Below are 18,329 nucleotides of genomic sequence, written 5' to 3' on the forward strand. Positions count from 1 at the left end.
ATTTCCTTAAAGTGGTGGATGGCCATATTGCCTAGGGAAGCTCACACATTGTTGGGTTACCCTTTGGATAATTCATTCCAAACAGACTACCTGAAAGGAGTTATTTCTTTTATTTTACCTTAGAAATACTTCAGAAAAGAGAACAAAATAAGCAAAAGTGGCCTTAAAAATGGATTAAATACAAGGAATAAGAAAAAAAATTGTGTTCATTTACTGGACAATATTTTGGTAATGTTTTTATTGTAAATATCAGTAACAGGATATAAGTGATCAAAATGTCCTATAAAATTGATCACATATTCTGTTTCTTGGAGCTATCCACTAGGATTAAGGAAGGCTAATTCCATGTAGGGGCTGGTGTGTTAAACTAATAGTCATTGTTGGCAGCTGAAACTTTAAATGGCCCTACTGTATTGAATAATGTAAGTGAAGGAAACATCAACAGATGTTACCCATCTATTGCCAGTACAGGCAAGCATTAAGGATTCAGAAGACTTTACAGAAGACTTTACAGAAGACTATGAGTATGGTGCTTTGTAACGACCTGTAAGAGATGTTGAAGTGTAATATGTTGGCCCTGTGTACAATCCTAATGGAGATACAGGATATAGCTACAAAGAAAAGGTAAGAACCAACATGAGACTGAATAGTATTCTTAAGCACATTTATTGAATACTTACTGTGGGCAGCTCAAGAGGCTCAGAAGTAGTACTAACAAGTAGTACTACCAATGTGGCTTAGAGGCATCCCTAGCAGAATTTAGTTGGGTCATGGTGCATTGTGAGAATGGAGCTACACCTCAGAGAGCAAGCTGAAAAGTGATAGAACATACAGTTACATGGGTGTTAGACTCTGCTCACCTGTTTCTACCTGAAAATTACCTTCTAATATTGAGGTTCTTCCTCAACCCCACATTTTTGATGCACAGACTAGAGGTACATAGGGCAGAGCGGCCAAGCTCCAAATGTCTAGAGTGACTACTGGTATCCTTCATGTCCCCTAGGCTGCCAAGCCTTTCAGAGGAAGGGGAGGTTGAGTGTGACACACAGCTCTTGTTGCAAGGCCAAGCCTGCTTAGTCTGCCCTATTGTCTTCAGCTCTGTACAAACTCAAGTTCCTTTGGCTTGTGGGCAGATTGTGTGACATGGCCAGCCAGCAGGGCTTTAGGGGCTGCTGGTTGTCCCTGGCTGCCCCTTCAACTACTCCAGTGTGTGATCCTTTCAGGTCCTAACATGGATGCTCTAAGGGGTTGAATTGTTTACTAATTTTCTAATTCTATTTTTTTTTTTTTTTTTAGTTTTCTAATTCTTTACACAGGGACCAGAAGCACACGTAGCCCTCTATTCTGGGAAGGCTTTGAAATAAAGTAGAATCATAATTCCATTTTCAGGGGTATAGAGAGAGCAGCACTATATAATGCCCTCCCCCAGTGTCTTCAGAAGGGCAATCTCCCTTTTCAGCTCAGTAAGCCCAAAGATTTATATTCTAACATTATAGCTTTTTCCATTTAACTTAAGACACTATTCTTTATAAAAATAAAAGTTTTGGTAATACAAGTCTTACAAAAAGAAATATCACGTGCAGACTTGGCTTTACTGTGAGGCCATATTTATCATTTAGACCTTACCAAGAACTACTTATTCTTTCCTATTAAAGCAGGTATCCTCTTGTCTCTCTGTCTCTGACACACACGCATGCACACACACTTTAATTTTGCTGATGAGTTACTCACTGCATAGTTACCAGCTCTTCTTGCCACCACCTTCACCTCCCGAATCCAAAGCCATTTCCTGTGCATTTTTTTTTCTTGTCTGTTAGGACATAAGGAATAGAGCCCAAAGGCACAGGATGGCTTTTGCCTGGGGTAGGGAAAAGGCTGAAGTTGCCCTGATATATTCTAGCTACAGAATATGCCTGCTTGGTTCCTAAGATGCTGAATGAGTTGGGAATCACGGACAGAAATCTAAGGGCTGGGGGACTACAAATGAACGTTTTGATTTCTGTGGTGTGTTTCAAGATATTTGTGTGATATTGTTCAGAAAATTATATTTCTTTTGAAAATTGCATGGAAATATTTGTATAGTTTAACAATACAATTGATTGGTTTTAATGGAATACACACTGCCATTTCCCTGGGAGCCTGTTCTCTTGGCAGAAGTATGGTTGAAACGTGGGGCATATTTCCAGAAAGATTGCTAGACAGTACTAGAACTTGAAACAGAAGCTGGATATATCAAACCAATGTGTGTGTTAATGGTTAAGACCCAACATACACATAGGCCTTACTGACACAAGCATATACACATTTACATATTATGTTAATTTAGCCACAGCACCTTGCTTAAACCTTACTTTTTCATAAGTTTCTTGCTGCAGCTCCTAGGTGGGTTCCTGGGACCTGTGTGAGTGCCATTAGCTGCATTCCCATGGCTTCCACACAGCAGGACAATCTATTATTTTATCAGCCCTATTCAACCTTACAAAAAGATCTGTTTCTACGTGGGCTGATACTGTAAGTGCTGATTTCAGACCAAGGCCTGCTGCTCTACTAGCTTTTTCTTTCTGTGCCTGAATGTGGAACCCCCAGAAACAAGGGGATGAATGGAAATGCAAACAGACTCCCAGCTCCAGCAGATGCAATGATTGCTTCACAAGTTTCATTTGTACAGAGGTCAAAAAGAAAGAGTAAAGGTGGGCCTTTAGTGAAGAAATATAAACATGTTATAGCAAATGCTTTTTGTATCATAGGAGTAACCTGGACTGACATAAACAGATATTGTTCTCACTGATCTTTAAAATAAAATTTTTAATGTTTAACTTTTAACTTTCTGAAAATTCGTGTTTATACACTGTAAGAGAGCTGCCTGAACTTGGTTGTGTCATGCTTTCCAATGGATTTCTAGCTTTTGAATATACTTTAATTTGAAAAATCTTTTCATGAATCCTTGACTTGTTTGCATGGTGATCAAATAACTGGAGCTCACTTGATAAATGTCAACCATGTACATTCATAATTGTTCGAATCTGTTTCCCTTCCCCCAGATCAAGCTTAATCTGTAGTTGCAGGTCTTCAGGGTGGGGATGGGGAAGTTTAGCTGCCTTTTCAGTTTTTCCCTCCTTGTAGCAGTCCAAAGTAAAAGGAGGCAAGGCTGGATCAAGAGGGCTAATTTGCACTTTGGGAGGCAGAGGTGGGTGGATCACCTGAGGTCAGGAATTCGAGGCCAGCCTGGCCAACATAGTGAAACCCTGTCTCTACTAAAAATACAAAAATTAGCCGGGCATGGTGGCATGTGCCTGTAGTCCCAGCTACTTGGGAGGCTGAGGCAGGAGAATCGCTTAAACTTGGGATGCTGAGGTTGCAGTGAGCCAAGTTCACACCACTGCAGTCCAGCCTGGGCAACAGAGTGAGACTCTGCCAAAAAAAAAAAAAAAAAAAAAAAAAAAAAAGAGGACTAGTTCAGTGTCTCCTAACAAGTTCAAGTGTGTCTGTTTGAGTCTGTAATCCCAACACTTTGAGAAGCCAGAGCAGGCGGATCACTTGAGGTCAGGAGCTCGAGACCAGCCTGGCCAACATGGTGAAAACCCATCTCTACTGAAAATACAAAAATTAGCCAGGCATGGTGTTGTGCGCCTGTAATCCTAGCTACTTGGGGGGCTAAGGCAGGAGAATTGCTAGAACCTGGGAGACAGAGGCTGCAGTGAGCCGAGATCATGTCACTGCACTCCAGCCTGGGCGACAGAGTGAGACTCCATCTCAAAAGGAAAAAAAAAAAAAGAATTTGGGTACTTGATACTTCTATATTGTGGCCAAAATCAGGCCAAAAATATGAGGTCACCTTTTTATGTTGTAGAATGATTTGGGAAACTTTTCATTTATCTACTTCTAAAAATAAGTACATTTTATTCTTTTTTTTTTTTTTTTTTTTTTGAGACCGAGTCTCGCTCTGTTGCCCAGGCTGGAGTGCAGTAGCACAATCTTGATCTCGGCTCACTGCAACCTCTGCCTCCCGGGTTCAAGAGATTCTCATGCTTCAGCCTCCCAAGTAGCTGGGATTACAGATGGTGGCCACTACGCCTATGTTTTTTATTTTTAGTAGAAACGAGGTTTTGCTATGCTGGCCAGGCTGGTCTTGGACTCCTGGCCTCAGGTGATCCATCAGCCTCTGTCTCCCAAAGTGCTAGGATTACAGGCATGAACCACTGTGTCTGGCCTAAAAATTAGAACATTTTAAGTAGCATTAAATATATTTGTTCCTGAGAGTTTTGCTGGAACTTTAACAGTTTTTGTTCTGATGCTTTTTAATAGAGGAAGGGCTTATTTTTGGTCTTCTTTTACAATTTTCTTCCAGTTAGGCTCTTGATTTATTAATTTTTCTTCCCTTTTTAAGACTCTTTCTCTTTTTAGAAGTATATTTCACATACAGTTAAGTGCAAAAACCCGAAGCAGACAGCTTGATGATTTTTACCTATGTATAAACACAGGTAACCTCCACACAGAGCAAGAAACAGACATTTCCAGCATCCCAGCAGGCTCTCTCATTCTGCTTCCAAAAGTAACTGTTATTCTAACCTCTATCACATATAGTAGTTTTATTTGTTCTGGAGCTTCTATAGATAGAAACATCCAGCATGTCCTCATTTGTGTGTCTGGCTTCTTCTGCTCGTTGAGTTTCTGAGATTCATCTACAGGAGTGCAAAAGTGTTTGCAAATATACAAAGAATTACTGAATATGTTATTGCACCGAATCAGAGGAAAATACCCGAGAAGAGACTATAACCAAAATCGCATTAATCAGAACAGAAAACTCAAGATAAGGAAAGATGAAGTAAAGGAAGTAGCAAACACACTGGACTTATTAATTATATATTTGTGTGCAAGTGGATGAGAAATAACACCAACTAAAATCCAGTGATCTTCTAGTTCAGTAAAATTTCTAGGGGTCCAGTGGTGTGGGGTCTGTCAAGATGTTCCTTCTAAGATGAAGGATAAGTTGCTGCATTTGGCCCTTCCTACAACCAATAAAGTGGCACAGTGCCTAGTGGGCCTATTTGGATTTTGGAAGGAACACTTCCCTCATTTGGGTGTGGTACTCTGGCCCATTTACTGAGTGACCCCAAAGGCTGCCAGTTTTGAGTGGGGTCCAGATCAATAGAAGGCTCTGCAACAGGTCCAGGCTGCTGTGCAAGGTGCTCTGCCACTTGGGCCACATGACCCAGCAGATCCAATGGTCCTCGAGGTGTCAGTGGCAGATAGGGATGCTGTTTGGAGCATTTGGCAGGCCCCGATAGGTGAATCACAGAGGAGACCTTTAGGATTTTGGAGCAAGGCCCTGCCATCTTCTGCAGATAATTACTCTCCTTTTGAGAGACAGCTCTTGGCCTGTTACTGGGCTTTGGTGGAAACTGAATGTTTGACTATGGGTCATCAAGTCACCATGTGACCTGAACTGCCTATCACAAATTGGGTGCTTTCTGACCCATCTAGCCATAAAGTGGGTCACACACAGCAGCATTCTGTCATCAAATTGTAGAGGTATATATGTGATCGGGCTCGAGCAGGTCCTGAAGGCACAAGTAAGTTACATGAGGAAGTGGCTCAAATGCCCATGGTCTCCACTCCTGCCACCCTGCCTTCTCTTTCCCAACCTGCACTGATGGCCTCATGGGGAGTTCCCTATGATTAGCTGACAGAGGAAGAGAAGGCTAGGGCCTGGTTCACAGATGGTTCTGCACGATATGCAGGCACCACCCGAAAGTGGACAGCTGCAGCACTATAGCCCCTTTCTAGGACATCCCTGAAGGACAGCGGTGAAGGGAAATCTTCCCAGTGAGCAGAACTTTGAGCAGTCCATCTGGTTGTGCACTTTGCATGGAAGCAGAAATAACCAGATGTGCAATTATATACTGATTCATGGGCTGTAGCCAATGGTTTGGCTGGATGGTCAGGGACTTGGAAGAAGCATGATTGGAAAATTGGTGACAAAGAAATTTGGGGAAGAGGTATGTGGATGGATCACTCTGAGTGGTCAAAAACTGTGAAGATATTTGTATCCTATGTGAATGCTCATCAGTGGGCGACCTCAGCAGAAGAGGATTTTAGTAATCAAGTGAATAGGATGACACATTCTGTGGACACCGCTCAACCTCTTTCCCCAGCCACCCCATCATTGCCCAGTGGGCCCATGAACAAAGTGGCCATGGTGGCAGGGATGGAGGTTATGCATGGGCTCAGCAACATGAACTTCCACTCATCAAGGCTGATCTGGCTACAGCCACTGCTGAATGCCCAATTTGCCAGCAGCAGAGACCAACCCTGAGCCCTCGATACGGCACCATTCTTTGGGGTGATCAGCCAGCTACCTGGTGGCAGGTTGATTATACCGGACCTCTTCCATCATGAAAAAAGCAGAGGTTTGTCCTCAGTGAGATAGACGCTTACTCCGGATATGGGTTTGCCTATCCTGCACACACTGCTTCTGCCAAGACTACCACCTGTGGACTCACAGAATGCCTTATCCACTGTCATGGTATTCCACGCAGCCTTGCCTCTGACCAAGGCACTAACTTTATGGCTAAAGAAGTGCAGCAGTGGGCCCATGCTCGTGAAATTCACTGGTCTTACCATTTTCCCCATCATCCTGAAGCAGCTGGATTGATAGAACAGTGGAATGGCCTTCTGAAGTCACAATTACAATGCCAACTAGATGACAATACTTTGCAGGGACGGGCAAAGTTCTCCAGAAGGCCATGTATACTCTGAACCACTGTCCATTATGTGATACTGTTTCTTCCATAGGCGGGATTCACAGGTTCAGGAATCGAGGGGTGGAAATGGAAGTGGTACCACTCACCATCACCCCTAGTGATCCACTAGCAAAATTTTTGTTTCCCATGTTCCCATGACATTATGTTCTGCTGGCCTAGAGGTTTTAGTTCCAGAGGGAGGAACACTGCCACCAGGAGACACAACAACAATTCCATTAAACTGGAAATTAAGATTGCCACCTGGACATTTAAGCTCCTCCTACCTTTAAGTCAATGGGCTAAAAAAGGAGTTACAGTGTTGGCTGGGGTGACTGATCTCGACTATCAAGATGAAATCAGTCTACTACTCCATAACGGAAGGAAGAGGATGCGTGGAATACAGAAGATCCATTAGGATGTCTCTTAGTATTACCATGTCTTGTGATTAAGGTCAACGGGAAACTACAACAGCTCAATCCAGCCAGGATTACAAATGTTCCAGACCCCTCAGAAATGAAGGTTTGGTCACTCCACCAAGAAAAAAACCATGACCTGCTTAGCTGCTTGCTGAAGGCAAAGGGAATACAGAATGGGTGGTAGAAGAAGGTAGTCATCAATACCCGCTATGACCACATGACCAGCTGTAGAAATAAGGACTGTAACTGTCATGAGTATTTCTTCCTTATTTTGTTAAAAACATGTTTGTGTATGTATACACGTGTACTAAGAAAATATCTTCATTTTATTTCCTTTTCCTTTATCATGTGACATAAGATTTATTAACTTCATATCAGCATTTAAATCTTGTTAACTTTATATAATAGTATTTGGGTTGGGGATTGGTGCATTTCCGGTTGTACGAAGGATAGTTGTATTATGTTAGGTGTAATTATGACCTTATTATTGTCTTTATTTGAAGATTATCTATGATCTCAGGAGATGTGTGTGGGTTCAAGTTGACAAAGGGTAGACTTGTGATGGTTAATACTGAGTGTCAACTTGATTGGACTGAAGGATGCACAATATTGATCCTGGGTGTGTCTGTAAGGGTGTTGCCAGAGGAGATTAACATTCGAGTCAGTGGGCTGGGGAAGGCAGATCCACCCTTAATCTGGTGTCTGGTGGGCACAATCGAATCAGCTGCCAGCAAATATAAGGCAGGTAGAAAAATGTGAAAAGGTGAGATTGGCCTAGACTCCCAGCCTACATCTTTCTTCCATGCTGGATGCTTCATGCCCTCAAACATTGGACTCCAAGTTCTTCAGTTTTGGGACTCAGACTGGCTCTCCTTACTTCTAAGCTTGCAGACAGCCTATTGTGAGACTTTGTGATCTTGTAAGTTAATACTTAATAAACTCCCAAATATATATATGTATACACACACACAAATATATATATTTATGTGTGTGTGTGTGTGTGTGTGTGTGTGTGTATATATATATATATATATATATATCCTACTAGTTCTGTTCCTCTAGAGAACCCTGACTAATACAGATTTCCAATTAAAGATATTAAGCAGGCAGCCTAATTTTCAGGGCTTGCTCGAGAAGGATGAATGCAGATAAATTTTGGGAGTTGTTGGCACAGCGGATCAGAAATACTTATTGAAAGGTTCATTGATAAGCTTCAGAGTGTCCAAGAACATTCTAAAATTATCCAGAAAAAGTATGGTTGTATATTCCTTTCCTTTTTCAGGGACAAGGTCCAGAATTTTCATCAGATTCTCAAAGGGGTTCATGACCCAAAAAAGTTTAAGGACAACAGATATAGATGATGGTAGATATTATAGGAATTGGTAAATTACTAAGCAAGAATATGTAGATTGAGAAGACAGCCAACGATGGGTTCTTATAGTAGAACAACACCTACAGGGTAGTTGGAGGAAGATAGAAGGCAGATATAGTAAGAAAACCTGGAGAGTGTAATGTTATAGAAAATCAATGGAAGAAAGTGTCTCAAGAAGAAAGACATCTATAAGAGATTGAGTAAGATAAGTACAGAACCCCACCCACCGAATGGCAGCAAGGAGATCACTGGTTACTGGCAAGAGTGGTTGCAGTGTATTTGTTATTAATAGAAAACTTAGTTGGAAGTAAAATTGACAGAATGGCTATAAGCATTTTTTCTGAGAGTTGACTGTGAAGCAGAGGGGGGCACATGGCTAGAGAGAGGGAATGTAAGATCAACTGAGAGACTTAAGCATGTGTATATGCTAATTGGAACAAAATAGCAGAGAGGGAGAGATTGAAGAGGTAAGACAAAAAGGAATAATTGATGGAGTTGTATCTCTGCGGATCTGGGAAATGGACACCACAGCATAAGTCTAAGGATTAGCTTCAGGAGGATCAAGTCTTCCACTGAGACAGAAAAAGTGAAAAGGACAAGGGTGGATTTAGCTAATGTTATAGATCTGAGAGTGGGGGACTGAAGGAAGTCTCATAGGCTTATGTCTTCACTGTTTCTGAAGTAGAAAGTGAGGTCATGCCTTGACAGAGAGATGGGTTTTGAACATGCTGCCTGAGAAGATTGATGAGGTTTTGAAATTATTATTTAAGGAGAGAAAACTGGCTAGGAATATATAAAGGATTTATAGGTTATGCTGAAAACCAAGCAAAAATTAAACATCTAGAATGTGAAGGGACACCAACATGCACTGTGAATGTGTATTCTCTATTATGAGCCAGTAGACCATGGAAGTTAAAGATAGGATTTTACAAGGATAGAGTGACAGAAGGATGTGGGACAAGGTTGTGGGGAAGAGTGTTAAAGAGGGATGACACGATGGATCATGAGGTCTAGGCTGAACACAAAAGGATGGAGAGAAAGGAGAGAATTGAAGTTCCAGGATAGGCATAGTGGGAATGAGGGAGTTAAAGCTGGAAAGATCCTGTTATTAGACAGTGACACACTGAAATTCATTACTTTAGAGAATGATGCCAATGTCTGAGGTATGAGAGTAGGTGAGGAAGTGGAGTGGGGTTTATAAGGTAAGCACATGTCACATATGGATATTGATTGGGATAGTTACCTGGACAGGACTTAGGTAGAGATAAGTATTATGATTCAGGGGCCAAAATTTTTGACTAAAACCATGACTAGGTGGTTGGTGGTTGACGGTTGAAGGGGAGGAGTTGCCATTATTCTCAAACAACAAACTTTTTTTAGACTCCAGGACTTGGAAATATTGGTTTGAAAGCTGCACTGGGGAGTGAAAAGAACACAGGAGCCACCTCTTAGAACTACCAAATATGGAACATGGGAATATGGCCCTTGAGAGGGCCACCACAGCAGTAGCCTTGGGAGATGCATCAAATTTCAGTAAGGTGAGGAGTGTAGCATGTGTTCTATGTAGCAGCTAAGAGTAGAGGGAAGTCTGTTTACTCTGAAACAAGTTTCAAACGGTTATGGGACATGATGCTTTTGAAGGAGAGGGGGAATTGGGGCTGGGTCAGATGCTTTTGAAGGAGAGGAGGAATTGGGGCTGGGTCAGAAGAGGGGAAGCGCAGAGGAGCTAAACTGACTGAAGAGGACAGCTGTCAGGAGAAGCTTACATTTTGAGGTCGTGACCAGGTTTGGCAGGAATGAAAGGCACAGAATTTGCTGACCTTCATGTACCTGGCAAAATCTGCCTTAGAGTTGTATCAGAGACAGGCTACCTTTCAAGACATGAGTCTCCTGACAGATAGTAGCTTGCTTTGTGGATGTTGAATCACTGTATATTCATCTGGTATTTTCTTTAAGTTATGAATCTCCTTAAAGGGTATCAGTTAATAGATATTTGAGCAAGTACTATGTGCAAAGTACAGAGGTTTTATAAAGTAGTAAGTGAGAGGATCTGACCTCATGGAGCCTACAGACTGTAGATTCTAAGGAGGAATTTATCGTTAAACAAATGTGTAAAATTCTACAAAAGGATTCGACATGTACAGGAGTGTATCTTATGATACTCAGCCTTGTGTGGGGTGGAAATGGTCTGCTTATCTTGCTCTCGTGTATGTAAAATAAGTAATGTAAAGAAGTGAGAAGCACCTTTAGACAGACTGACCTGAGGTCAAATCTGCTACTCCACCAATATCACTATGTAAACCTGAATTGGTTTTATTAAACTTTGAGCCAGTCTTTTCATTTCTAAATTGTAGACAGGTTATATCTTGTAGGGTAGTAGTGAGTACTAAGCAAGTTAATGTAAATATAGCATCAAGTATAGTGGTTAGCACATGGTAAGTAAGCAAAAGGTTAGTTTCCTTTCCCTAGAGTACTTCCTATAGGCACTTTATAAAATATGACTAAAACTATAAATGAAGGACTGTATTCTATCATTATTCAAGCTACCTCTTTGGCATTTTTATATTTTGATTAAGAAAATTATCTTACTCACTTAGGTGACAAAATTTTTTAGATGAAATTAAATGTATGGTGAAGGAGTATCTGATGAAACTGACTTGGCAGCTAAAAAAACCTGCTACTCTGTTTTTCTTTTATAAAATTGAATGCTTAAAAAAAATCTCTGTTTAGGATTGTCATGGGGGTTGTTTCTGCTTTTCACTTAAACTGTTGATTTGTCTTTATCCACACAGTATTATTTTAGTGACATGTGTAAATTTCAAGATGACCCAGTATTTAGTGACTTTACCTAATGCTTCCGGTTGAAATGTTTCTCAAGGGAAAGTCAGCCAACCATTTTTATTTTGTGCATAGTATAGGTAGAAAACACCAAAGCAATAAAAAACAAAGTTATTGACTAGTTTTGTTGTTGTTGTTGTTTGTGACAGGGTCTTCTGCTCTGTCACTCTCGCTGGAGTGCAGTGGCACAATAAGAGTTCACAGCAGCCTTGAACTCCTTGAGCCCAAAACTAGAGTAATTGGGATATCTATCACCTCAAGCATTTATCATTTCTTTGTGTTAGGAACATTCTAATTCCACTCTTTTAGTTATTTTGAAATATATGATTAATTATTAACTATAGTCATTCTGTTGTGCTGCTGAACACTAGATCTTATTCCTCTAAATGTATTTCTGTACCCATTAACCACCTCATCTTTATTCCCTCCTTCCCCGCTCCCCTTTCTAGCCTCTGCTAATCATCATTCTATTCTCTATCTGCATGAGTTCATTTTTTTTTAGCTCCCACATATTAGTGAGAACATGTGATATTTATCTTTCTGTGTCTAGCTTATTTCACTTAACATAATGACCTCCAGTTCCATCCATGTTGTTGCGAATGACAAGATTTTATTCCTTTTCTGGCTAAATAATATTCCATTGTGTATATGTTTGTACCACATTTTCTTTATCTGCTTGTTTGTTGATGGCATGGGTTGATTCCATATCTTGGCTATTGTGAATAGCGCTGCAATAAACATGAGGGTGCAGATATCTCTTCGATATACTGATTTTCTTTCTTTCGGGTATATACCCTGCAGTGGGATTTCTGGCCATATGGTAGTTCTATGTTTAGTTTTTTGAGGAACCTTCATACTTTTCTCCAAAGTTGATGTACTCATCAATCTTTGATGAGTAAGTGGGAAAAGTCCCACCAATAGTGCACAGGGGTTTTCTTTTCTCCACATCCTTGCCAGAATTCATTATTGCCTGTCTTTTGGATGAAAGCCATTTTAAATGTGATGAGATGATAGCTCATTGTAGTTTTAATTTGCATTTCTTAGATGATTAGTGATGTTGAGCATTTTTTCATATGCCTCTAACAAGAATATTTTTGACCTATGTTTCATTTCTTTGATCCTTCATAGTAAAACTTTGCAGAAGAGTTGTCTAAAATTGTTTTCTACATTCCTCAGGTGTTTTCCCAGCCCACCTTAATTAGAGTTTAGTTTCCTTTTAAAGGTCATCCATGATTTCCACATTACCAAATCCAATGACCTCTTCTGGGTACTCATCTTCCTCCTTATTCCAACTACGCTTGTCTCATTGACCACTTCCTTCCTTCTTAACTGCCCCTCCTTAGCACTTTCTTCTCTTGGCTCTTAGAGCATACTTTCCTAGATTTCTCCCTGCCTCTTGTTGGTTGCTCCTTTGCTGGATTTTCCTCCTCTGTTTTCCTCTAAATCAGGGGTGTCCAATCTTTTGGCTTCCCTGGGCCACACCGGAAGAAGAAGAAGAAGGAGAATTGTCTTCGGCCACATGTAATATATACTAACACTAACCATAGCTGATGAGCTAAAAGAAAATTGCAAAAAGATCTCATAATGTTTTGGCCAGGTGCAGTGGCTCACACCTATAATCCTAGCACTTTGGGAGGCCAAGGCGAGTGGATCACCTGAGGTCAGGAGTTCAAGACCAGCCTGGCCAACATGGTGAAACCTTGTATCTACTACAAATACAAAAATTAGCCAGGCATGGTGGTGGATGCCTGTAATCCCAGCTACTTGGGAGGCTGAGGCAGGAGAATTGCTTGAACCTGGGAGGCAAAGTTTGCAGTGAGCCGAAATTGCGCCACTGCACTCCAGCCTACGTGACAGAGTGAGTCTCTAGCTCAAAAACAAAAAACAAACAAAAAAAAACTCATAATGTTTTAAGAAAGTCTATGAATTTGTGTTGGGCGCATTCAAAGCCATCCTGGGCTGCATGCAACCTGTGAGCCATGGGTTGGACAATTCAGTCACTACAATACTTTGCTGATGACTTTTACAAGTCTACCCTGAACTTCTGCCTGGAACTCTAGGTCATCTATGAAGCTTCCAGCCTGACCCCTCTACTTTGATTGCCTGTTTTTCTGTCTTCTTGCAACCGCCCTACTGCCGCCATCATTCCTCTCTCCTCAGCTATTGTAATAGCCTCTTAATTCATGTCTTTATTACAACTCTGGGTACTCTTCTCTCCACCACCCAACTCATCCATTTTCCATACAGGAGCCAGAGTAACTTTCATTTTAAACACAACTCAGAATCTATCTCTTCCTTGCTTAAAATCCTCCAGTGGCTTCTTACAGCTCTTGGGATTTAGTCCAGCTTCTGCTGTGGCCTGCAAGGCTGGCCCTGCCTATTGGGCCACAGGCCTTCCCTCAAGCCTCAGCTTGTTTGTCTCTCCCCACTCACTGCCCCTGAGCCACTGAGGTCCTCTCTTGTCCTCAATCCAGCCCAGCTTAGGGCCGCTGCATTTGCTTTACTTTCTCTCTGGAATGTTCTTCCAATGGCTGGCTTGCTTTTATCATTTAATTCATTTAGTCTCCAGCTCAAATGTTACTTTTTCAGAGGGATTGTTCCAAAGAAATGCCACAGCCGCTGTCTATCATATTATCCTGTTTCATATTTTTCACAGTACTTTTCTCTGTGGAATATCTAATTTGTTCATCTGTCTGCCTCAGTAGAATGGAAATTGCATTAGAGCAGAAGTCATGTCTGCCATATTCACCACTACATTTTCTTCATATAGAACTGTGCTTCGTTCTTAGTAGGTGCTCAAAAGGTTATTTTTAAAAATAAATAAAGGAGTAAATGAGTAATGATAATAATACTATTTAACTAACATTGAATAGCATTTGATATTTTGGGATGTCCTTTCACTCATGTTATCTGGCTTCCTCTCCATGGTAACTTCTGAGGTAGGGACTATTGTTACGGTCATTTACAGATGAACTAAGTCATTTTGTGCCCTTTCACCTCCGCATCCAAAAGGGAAAGAAATTGCACTTTTTAAGCCTCCAAAGAAAAAGAGAATCAAGGAACTTTGGTAAAATTATTTAATAGGCTGAGCTAACCATCTGTGAACTTTTGCTTTTTGCGTTTTAACCAAATGTTAAAAATTGAACTACCTGTGTTTCTATCCTGAACACTACAAACCATTCAGAGAAAATGTTCTCTATTATTCCTGGGTCCAGATGCAAGAGGTCCATGGTAGTCAATGCTCTGTAATTAAATGAGATTTTAGGCTGAGTTTCTAATCCCCTGAGACACAGAATGTGCAGCTGTACTAATAACGTGGCCTATTATATGGAAAGCCAGCCGGGTCCTTATTTCTTTATGTATGCACACACATACACACACACTCACACACATAAATTCACATTTATATTTTTTCAAGCCAACAACAATCTAAACACAAGGTTCTCATTCTGTCTTTAAATATGGGAAATAATATTAGATTAAGTTAATGTAATCACTAACATCATGTTCTGTAAATTGAAAACTAATGCATCTTTGTTTTCCAACTCCCAGTCTGCCCGAGAAACCAGAATTTACAGAATGTCCAGACCCACACTTTCGATGATAAAATATATGTACCCCACTTAGAGTAAGGTGCATAATTTAATATTTTATTGTGTTTGATTTATAGGCTTTTTCAATCCTTATTAAATTTAAGTTTTCACAATTGAGGAAAGGCCTTAAATAAAACATATTTTGTGGTTAAAGACATATCCCACATGTGCTGGGATGGCAATTTAAGTCAGGATAACTCCTCTCTGGGCCTTCAGAGCACTGCTGAAAGCTCTGATTGTGGGGCTAAGGTTAGTAGGGCTGAAGGAGAAAGGGTCAGTGTTCAGAATCTAGGCTGAGAGCAGTATCTGTTTCTTTGAGGTCTGATATTGCATCAAAATCCACTTCAAAATCTGGTATGGAAAAATCTTTAAAAATTATATCAAAATTTGGCTTTTGTGTCTTTTAAAAAGAAAGAAACTTTAGGGGGGTAGGGAAAGTGATTTGTACTGATACCTTTGGCAAGCCCTTCACTAAGTACTCTTTCAGAACAGTAATTCCCCAACCGTCAAAGACCTGGACATGACCTCAAATATCTACAGCTCAAGAAATGTTACGTGGTGCCGCAGATGTTTTCAGGCAGGAATTCCAGGTCCTGATGAACAGATGGAAGTACCTTTCCCTGAAAGCCTCTTCTGCCCTGAGGACACTGGCCACTGAAAAGGATCCAAGCTATAGGACTGGCATCACTGGAGAATGGAAATATCCTTTCAGCATCTCTAAACTACCAGTCCCCACTAATCTTAACCAACTCCAATGCCTCTCAAGATGTTTCTGAACCCCTCATCCCTAAGGATTTATTTGCTCATGCCACTCCTGCATTTTTGCATTTCTATTATGTCAGTGATCATATTCTGTCCTAACTCCTATTCCATACAACAAAGACCAGGAGGCTCTGTACTGTTCTGTACTTCATGTCCTCTTTCTCATCTCAAAGTCATCTTTGATTCTTTCTTCTTCCACACCCGCTACATCTCATCAGTTACGGACTGTTCTTGATTCTCTCTTCTCAATATCTCTTGAAATCCTTCTTTTTTTTTTTTTTTTTTTTTTTGAGACAGAGTCTTACTCTTGTCACCCAGCCTGGAGTGCAATGACGAGATCTTGGCTCACTGCAACCTCCACCTCCTGGGTTCAAACAATTCTCCTGCCTCAGCCTCCTGAGTAGCTGGGATTACAGGCATCCACCACCATGCCTGGCTGATTTTTGTATTTTTGGTAGAGAAGGGGTTTCACTGTGTTGGCCAGGCTGGTCTCAAACTCCTGATTTCAGGTGATCTGCCCACCTTGGCCTCCCAAAGTGCTGGAATTACAGGCGTGAACCACTGCGCCCAGCCCCTTCACTTCTTTATATTTCCATGACCCTCTCTGAGTCCAGGCCATCTCTGGCTCTTGCTTTTCCCCTCACAGCAATTGATTTGGCTTTCCTCACTCAAATCTTGCTCCCAGCCCTCCCTTTACCTATTATTCCTTACTCTGCAGTCAGAGTGATTTTTCTACGATGCCTGTATATCTGATCATCTCATTCCCCTGCCAAAACCTTTAGTGTATTTCCACTACCCTTGAGATAAATTCTCAGCTCCTTACCATGGCTTACCAGGTGCTATCAGCATCTCTCCCTCATTTCCCCTCTTGCACTACACCTTACACTGCAGTCCTACTTAACTCCTACTGCTTTCTCAGGGAAGCCTGTGGGGCCTTCGCTTGCCTGGGCATTTCCCTGTGCTGTTCCCTAGTGCTCTTCCTAGCTCTTTACCTGGCTAATTCCTACTCATGCTTTGTTCTCAACTTATGGTCACTTCCACCTGGTCACCTTCCTAGGCCTCCTGCTTATCTTGCTCTTCTTTCCCATTGCATTTTGTCCTTCCCTGGCACGGCACTGAGACTTCATTATAATTGTGGTTTATTTTTTCCCTCTAGACTAGAAGGTCCCCAAGGACAGAAACTATATGTACCTTCTCTCTTGTATATCATCATCACCTAGCTCAGTGCCTGGCATATAGAAAGGCATTTAATAGCTATTGAATAAATATTCATTGTTGTATCTTCCACACATCTTGGTATCAAGTTGGTATTGCTGAGTACCTTGCACACAGTGGATGTTCAATACCAATTTGATGAATCAGATCCAATGGACACATTGTTCAAATTGTCCGATAGAAAACCTAGGTCTATTGAGACACAGAGTAAAACAATAAGCTGGTTTAGGAAATATTAAAAGATTCTTTTCTGAAAGATGAATTTGATTGGCTGACCAATCACATTGGACCACGAAGATGACCAGACAGACCATGTTATGGTTGCTATACTCTTTTTGCAGATGGTGTTTAGTTTTTACTGTCTGTGGCAATTCTATCTATTGCCTGGAAATTGGCTGCTATAGAAGTGGGTAAGAATTAAAAATTACCTTAATACTAATTATATTAATAACTACTAATCACGTTCTTAATGCGCATCAGCTCATTTGATCCTCACAATGATCCTGTGAAGTATCTCCTGTTATTATTCAACTTTACAGATGAATGGTAGAAAGAGAATCTGAACCTCTACAGTCTTACTCTGGATTCCAGGCTTTTAAACATTTCTCTTTATTGCTGGTATTTTTCACTGTGATCAGTAACTAGAGACATAGCTTCAGAGATAGACATGCATTTATGAGCTATGCAAAAGCCTTAGGAGTCTTTTGCACAGGCAGCAGGCATAATGCTTAGGAAACGAGGTCAGCCTCTTGTCATACCTGCTGGACTTGATTTTAATAAAGCTTTGCAAGCAAGTCATAAGAGAAATGGGAGCAATTTGGAAATAAATTACTTCCATTATGCTGCAGAATCTCCTATATACTGTGGCATTTAGGAATTATTCACAGATGTATGTTTACAGTTAAAAAATCAACTATACTGTGCTCAATTATATGAGGGGAAAACTCTAGTAAACAGTTTTTAATTGGATTGAAATTAAGATAAATTTAGGATAATGAAGGAAAATGTCTTAACAGCAAGATTTATAGACTGTGTGCAAAACTCCCATTGGAAGTGAAAGAAGCCCAGTATTTTGAAATGCAAAATTTACATGCACATGAGGAAAAAACATTATGTGTACACTCAGTTTCTATGTAGTCATGAAATTCTTTTGAAACAACAGACTATATATGTATTATTCAATAGACAGATATGAGCATTCACTGTTACAAAGCTCTATATTTGGTACTATGGGAAGTACAAAATTCTCCAAAATCTAGCTACAGATTCCAAGTAATTCATGATCTACTGAGTTATACGACTTCTTTATTAGAGGAACTGTATAGCGTATCCATAAAATGTTCACGAAATGTGAGAACCAAATTATAAAATATTCTTTTGGAAGACACGC

The 18,329-nt window shown here is 40.7% G+C and overlaps 1 long non-coding RNA gene across 1 annotated transcript in view; it reads left to right on the plus strand.

Annotated features, from left to right (window-relative positions):
• The first annotated feature begins 416 nt into the window (after positions 1–416).
• Positions 417–18,329, plus strand: part of LOC105375411 (uncharacterized) — a 59,097-nt gene continuing 41,184 nt past the window's right edge. The window contains exon 1 of the long non-coding RNA XR_927780.2: positions 417–624. This is a non-coding gene — a long non-coding RNA (uncharacterized LOC105375411). The remainder of the gene's footprint in view (positions 625–18,329) is intronic.

The sequence above is a fragment of the Homo sapiens genome, chromosome 7 (assembly GCF_000001405.40).
Source record: "Homo sapiens chromosome 7, GRCh38.p14 Primary Assembly".
Classification (NCBI taxonomy): domain Eukaryota; kingdom Metazoa; phylum Chordata; class Mammalia; order Primates; family Hominidae; genus Homo; species Homo sapiens.